At 41.9% G+C, this 7297-nt stretch overlaps 1 annotated feature.

Annotated features, from left to right (window-relative positions):
• Positions 5762-6961: an enhancer, noted in NCBI's record as "CDK7 strongly-dependent group 2 enhancer chr18:47076971-47078170 (GRCh37/hg19 assembly coordinates)". NCBI's record gives its function as "activates an origin of replication core promoter dependent on BRD2, BRD4, P300/CBP, MED14 and CDK7 cofactors, with strong dependence on CDK7, by STARR-seq in HCT116 cells {active_cell/tissue: HCT116}" and the evidence as "EXISTENCE:reporter gene assay evidence [ECO:0000049][PMID:35650434]".

Below are 7297 nucleotides of genomic sequence, written 5' to 3' on the forward strand. Positions count from 1 at the left end.
TGATTTCTGACTTAGGTTTTTAAGAATAAATAGGACATTGCCAAAAGGACATGACAAAGGGATTGGAAAAAGACTTTAAAGAGCACCTCCCCCTGCGGTTCTTACCAAGGGTGTGGGTTCAAATCACTTGAGGAGCTTTTGCAACACACAAATGTGTGGGCTTCTTGGTAAAGAACCCATTTGTTCTTATCCCTTCATTTTGCAAATGAGGAAACTAAGATGTTGCATTGATTGAGTTAGCAGCAGAGCCAGGCTGGGGTCTCAGGTCTCTTCTGAGCCCCAGACCTTGTTTTCCAAACTGTACTCCCTCTGGCACATTTCAAGCAGGAATAAAACATTCTTAACTACAATGGAATGACTGCCTTTTCCCAATTTGCAAAAAAACTTAATGTAATGTAAGTATGATTTTCAACTGCAAGTTTTCTCCCATAATGTTCTTAATTTTTAATTTTGAACTAATTTTTGCCTTACAAAAAAGTTGCAAAAATTGTATAATGAGCCCTGTATATCCCTCACAAGCTTCCCCTAATGTTAACATTTTACATAATCACTGCAAAATGAGCAGAACTAGGAGCTCAATATTTGCACAATACTACTAACTAAACTACGGAACTTACTTGAATCTTATCCTTTTATTTTAATTAATTAATTAATTTTTTAGAAAAGGTCTCGCTCTGTCACCCAGGATGGAGTGCAGTGGCATGATCTCGGCTCACTGCAACCTCTGCTTCCTGGGTTCAAGCGATTCTCCTGCCTCAGCCTCCTGAATAGCTGAGATTACAGGCACTCACTACCACACCGGGCTAATTTTTGTATTTTTAGTAGAGGCGGGGTTTCACCACGTTGGCCAGGCTTGTCTCGAACTCCTGACCTCAAGTGATCTGCCCACTTTGGCCTCCCAAATTGCTGGGATTACAGGCATAAGCCACCATGCCTGGCCAATGTTATCATGTTAAAAAACTTATTCTGAACTTACTTTAGGCTTACGTAAAATTATTTTGATTTTCTATGTTTTTAGGCAGAGTCTCGCTCTGTTGCCCATGCTGGAGTACAGCGGTGTGGCCATAGCTTTCTATTAATTCTAGGAGTTCACTGTAGCCTTGAACTCCCACGCCTGGCTAACTTAAAATTTTTTTTTGTAGAAATGGGGCCTCGCTTTATTGTCCAGGCTAGTCTTGAGCTCCTGGCTGCAAGTGATCCTCCCACCACGGCCTCCAAATATGCTGGATTACAGGGCATGAGCCGCTTTGCCTGGCCAGGGTTGTGGAAAATTAAACCTTACTTTTTAGAAAAGCTTTTGTACTTTCTACAACTTTCATGCTTCAAAAGATAAAAGAACACATAAACAAGTAACAGAGGAGTTGTAATGAAAAGACTCAAGAGTTGCCAATAACGCTTAGACAGCTGGTTTTTCTTCTGTATTTTAAAATCATGTTTTCCATTATCTTTGAAAGCATGCAAATTTAATTAAGCTGACATTTTAAAGCAAGGCACATTAGCTAAATGAATGGTGTTTGTGAGATCATTTTTATGTGATAAAATGAAGTATTTCACATTTAATGCACTTCAGCAGAAAGTATCATGACCTGTAGGTGCTCTCCCATCTGAATGGGTCTAAGCACTGCTGTACTCCTGGCCATCCATCTATTTAGAGGTGCAAGATACCATGAGGTGCAAGCCTTTGGCTTTCTGGACCAGGCTTTTCAACTAGTTACTGCTGAGATAGACTTCAGACCTCTGTTACCATTATATACCGGCATAAATATTATGTGTCTTTTATTGGAATCACCCCTCCATCCCTGATATTGATCTCCTCCTTAGAGTACTAATTTCATTTATTTATGTTTTTATATTTTAGTTATTCATTTTTTATGTATGCACATGGTGAAATTCAAGCTGTACAGAAAAGTATATTAGGCCTTTTTTGTGTTGCTTTAAAGGAATACCCGAGACTGGGTAATTTATTAAGAAAAGAGGTTTAATTGGCTCATGGTTCTGCAGGCTGTACAAGAAGTGTGGTGCCACATCAGCTTCTGGGGAGGACTCAGGAAGCTTTCACTCATGGTGGAAGGCGAATAGGGATTAGGCCAGAGTAGGAGCAAGAGAGAGGGGGAGGTGCCACACACTTTTAAACAACCAGATCTCCAGAGAACTCATTCATTTTGGCGAGGACAGCACCCAGCCATTCATGAGGGATCTGCCCCCATCATCCAATACCTCCCACCAGGCACCACCTCCAACATTGGGGATTACATTTCAACATGAGATTTGGAGGGGATAAACATCCAAACCACATCAAAAAGCATAAAATTAAGAGTTAAAATACCCGCCTCCCCTGCCGACTTCTAGACCTCTGATTCTCAAAGGGGGGATGCCATCTCCTGGGGACACTTTGGAAAGGTTGGGGAGCATTTTTGATTGTTTTAATGATTGCAGGTATTACGGAATTGGGGGAGTGGTAAAGAATGTTTATCATCCTAAAAAAAAAAAAAAAAAGAATTTACCTGCATCCAACACAATGTTTTAATCCTGGTGGATGTTCATATAAGTGAAAAATCCTGTTTACTATGCTCTAAATTTAGAATATACATGTTAACAGTTGTTCAGTTCTGTCCAACCTAGGAGATGCTATTCACATCATAGAAATCATAGATTTTAATATTTATTATGCCATTTTTCTGGCAGATGCCAGTGAAGTGTCTTGCTTTAATAAAATTAGCACATTGTGATAGTTTTTCCAAAAAGTGGAGGTAAAGTATGATGAGGAAGGGGGTCCTTTTTCTAATTTGCATCAAAGTGACATACGGGATTTTTGTCTTTTAAAAAAATAGTGTGAAAATTTTTTGAAAACTAAGAAAACAAGTTCTTATATGTTGCAAATATTTTGTGACTTAGTTTTAAATTATCTTTGACTTTGTTTAACTCATTTTCATCAGAGTTAAAAACAAATTTGGCCAACATGGTGAAACCCTGTCTCTACTAAAAATAGAACAATTAGCTGGGGGTGGGGTGGGGTGGGTTGGGGCGGGTGGCACATGACTCAGACTGAGGCATGAGAATTGCTTGAACCTGGGAGGTGGAGGTTGCAGTGAGCTGAGGTTGCACCACTGCACTCTAGCCTGGGTGACAGAACAAGACTGTTTCAAAAAAAAAAATGTGTATAGCCAAGTTTATTATGTTTCCCTTTTATTTTCTGTGTTTATATCTTGCTTAGAGAGCCCTTCTTTATGAGATTGAAAAAGTAAATTCTTACCACTGAGTTAAAAAAGTAGAGACATTTGTATATTAAGTATATAATCACCCTTGTTATTAAAGTATTTCATTTCTAATGTTTTTCAAATGCCTATTGAAAAAATTTTTGATCCACCTTTGATGTGTAAATGTGGTAAACTATGTGTGTAGATTTCCTTGTACTGAGCCCTGCTCAGTACAATTGAAAAAGTTTAAATAGCTTCAGAATTTATCATGCATTTATTCAACAAGTATTTATTAAGTACTGGCACTGGAAATACAGCAATGATCAAAATAGACAAGAATGCCTTTCATCTTAGCAGGGGAAGGCAGACTGTAAACAAAGAAATAGTTAAGATATATAATATGTCAGGTGGTGGTAAGTGTTCTAGAGAAAATAAAGCAGAGGAAGGAGACAGAGGTGCTAGGAGGCAGGGCAGGGGTTGCCATTTTAAATGGGGAGGCCAGACATGGTGACTCATGCCTGTAATCCCAGCACTTTGGGAGGCCAAGGCAGGCAGATCATTTACGGTCAGGAGTTTGAAACCAGCCTGGCCAGCATGGTGAAACCCCATCTCTACTAAAAATTAGCCAAGCATGGTGGTGGGTACCTGTAATCCCAGCTACTCAGGAAGCTAAAGCAGGAGAACTGCTCGAGCCCAGGAGGCGGAGGTTGCAGTGAGCAGAGATTGCACCATTGTACTCCATCCTGGGCAACAGAGCAAGACTCGGTCTCACAAAAAAAAAAAAAAAAAAAAAAAAAAAAAAAAGGGGAGGCCAGGGAAGCCTCACAGAGACAGTGACATTTGGGCAAAGACCTGAAGGAGGTGAGGGAATGAGCTGTGTATGTACTGAGAGATCAATAGAGGGAATGGCAGTCCTAAAGCCCTGAGATGGGAACTGCCCGGGGTGTTCAAAGAACAATAAAAAGATCAGAATGAGGAGGGCTAAGCCAGGGGGAAAGAAGTGTGAATTCACATCAGAGGTAGAGGGGACCCTGAGAGTAAAGAGTCATCTTTACAATGAATGGAGGAGTCACTGGAGAGTATTTCTGGTGGCTTATTTCAGGTGACAGCTCAGGGTGGTTGGACCAGTGTGGGAGCAATGGAGGTGTTCAGAGGTGGTCAGACTCCCATCGAATCTTGAAGGTGGATCCACTGGGATTTGTTGGCTATTGGATGTAGGATAAGACAAAATGGGAGAAGTCAAATTTGACTCCAGTTTTTGGCTGGAGTGACTGGAAGGATTTGTTTGCCATTTATTGAGATTGGGAAGACAGAGGCAGGGGTAGATTTCTGGGGATGATCAGTGATTCAGTTTCGGACATGATGCATTTGAGATGCTTTTCATGTATGTAAGGGAATAGGCAAGTGTGGGGTTCAGGGAGGAGGTTCAGGCTGGAAATAAGATTTGAGAACGACATAAAGATGGCTTTGAAAGCATGAGAGTAGGTGAGATTATCAAAGGAGTGGTTTTAGTAAACAAAAATGAAGAGGTCCATGGACTGAACCCCAGGCTCTTCAGCAACAAGGAGTCTGTGAACACAGGAGACTGAGATGAGGGACCAGGGAGAGAGGAGGGAAACCAGAAGGGGCTTCATGGAGGAGGGAGTGGTTCATGAGAGGGGGGTGAGAGCAGAGGATTGTGGCTCAGTGGAGGCCACAGGGGACCTTGATGAGAGTGGTTGGGGTTGGGGGAGAAGCTGGCTGGAGCCTAATAGGAGGTAATAGGGAAGAATTGGAACCAGGGAGCACAGAGGACTCTTTAAAGGAATTTTACTGTAAAGGGAAGCAGAAAAGTCTAGAGAGGGAAGTTAATTGCATTTTTTTAAAGAGGGAGAAATTATAACTGACTTGCATGCTGATGGGAATGATCCAGTAGACAGCAAAAAATAGTTGGAGTGGTGGCCTTGTGTAAGTGAGAAGGGATGGAATCTGGTGTGTAAATGGAGGGGGTGTGAGTTTAGATAGAAGTACAGACAGTGTGAACAGGAAGGGAGGCTCAGGACATGGTACAGATACAAATAGTTGGATGGGTGTGATAGAGGAGGGGGCTCATGGATGTTCTCTTCTGGTTGTTTTATTTTTCTAGTACAATATGAACTCAGGTCATCAGCTGAGGGTGAGGATGGGAGAGATGATGGAGGTTCGAGGAGAAAGAAGATGTGAGAGGGTTGTCTAGAAGGAGGAGTAGATGGGGTACATGGTCCAGGGAAATAGAATTTTATTGCTAGGCAGAATTAAAAGACCTGTTGAGGTTAGTGGTCATTAATTGAATTTAGCAGTGCTTTTTTCTAGTTTGTTCTGCTCTGGTGGTATAGGTACCAGAATAGGTGAAAAATTGGATTTAATCAAGAGTTTGGTGGTTTAAAAAAGTGTACCTGAGGAACCATATGCCCTTGACATTTTGGGGTGGGAGGTTGGATAGGATAGTCATTTTTATTAATTTTTTTTCTTGTGTTTATTGGTCCATTTAGATATTCTATATCTTCTAGCATCAGTTCTTTATCACATATTTTGCTAGAAAATGGACCATTTTGGATCAGGTTTTTTTTCTTTTGTTTGTTTTGTTTTTTTCCCCCACAGAACTTTGGAGATGCCCAGAGCAATTAAAATTGAACTTCACTTGGTGATCTAGGCCTCCAGTCTGCCATTTGCCTTGCTCCCTTCCAGTCTGTGGAAGTGATGGGAGAGAGAAGCATGCCAGCAGGTGGGCTGCATGGTTTGTTCAGCCGTGTTTCATCAGTACAGTGCTGGCTACAGTCCTGTCCCTGGGAGTGAGGCAGGATAGGTGGTCAAGGAAGCGACCATGTTCTTGGGAGGCAGCAACCGCAATGACCATACAGCCAATACAATAATCCTCAGCATTTGCATTGTAACTGAGGTCATTCAAGCAAAGCTATCTTCAGTAGGGACTTTCCCCTCTAGAAAGCATGTCCATTTTGATTTTACCTGTCCTCAGACTGACCCTTTGCTCATTATAATAGTAAAAGACACACCCCTGGGTGGAGATTTAAGATGCTAATGAGACATGAGACGTATGAACAAATATGTATGGCTACTGCACATGTGCACCCAGAAGACCTCCTAGGACATGCTTACTAGCAACACCTTTTCCCACCTTATGAATAATCATGTAAGACTTCCAGAAAGGGAGTCCCCTAGTGCCAGTTTTTGCTGTCTCATCCTTACGTGCAGCCTCCCCTGAACTCTCTCAGGGTGCACTGTTGTATTAGTCCATTCTTACGCTGCTAGGAAGAAATACCCAAGACTGGGTAATTAATAAAGAGAAGAGATTTAATTGACTCACAGTTCCACATGGCTGGGGAGGCCTCAGAAAACTTATAATCATGGCGGAAGGCACCTCTTCACAGGGTGGCAGGAGAGAGAATGACAGCCAGCAGAGGAAATGCCAGATGCTTATAAAACCATCAGATTTCATGAGAACACACTCACTATCATGAGAACAGTGTGGGGGAAACTGCCCCCATGATTCAATTGCCTCCACCTGGTCCTGCCCTTGACACATGGGGATTATGGGGATTATGGAGATTGTAATTCAAGGTGAGATTTGGGTGGGGACACAGGGCCAAACCATATCAACTGTCTATTCTGCACCTAACTTTCAAAATACTATTTTTCTTTTGCAACAGATTACTCTATGTTACACCTCCTTTGCTGTGTGTCCCCTGTTTAAATTATTTTAAGCCAAGAAGACAAGAACCAAGGTATCACATCAACTGTCAACAGGAGCTGCTGATCTCTAGGCTTGCTCAGAGTTGTGAAGTTCTTGGCTGATCTCATAGGTGGTCATTTAGCTTTTGTGTATAGGACAAGTAGGAGAAGAATATTAATCCAGTAAATTAAAATAACAATCTGGACTGGGCACAGTGGCTCATGCCTGTAATGCCAGCACTTTGGGCGGATCACCTGAGGTCAGGAGTTCAAGACTAGCCTGATCAACATGGCAAAACCCTGTCTCTACAATACAAAAATTAGCCAGGTGTGGTGGCACATGCTTGTAATCCCAGCTACATGGGAGGCTGAGGTGGGAGAATTGCTTGAAC

Source organism: Homo sapiens, chromosome 18 (assembly GCF_000001405.40).
Source record: "Homo sapiens chromosome 18, GRCh38.p14 Primary Assembly".
Taxonomy (NCBI): domain Eukaryota; kingdom Metazoa; phylum Chordata; class Mammalia; order Primates; family Hominidae; genus Homo; species Homo sapiens.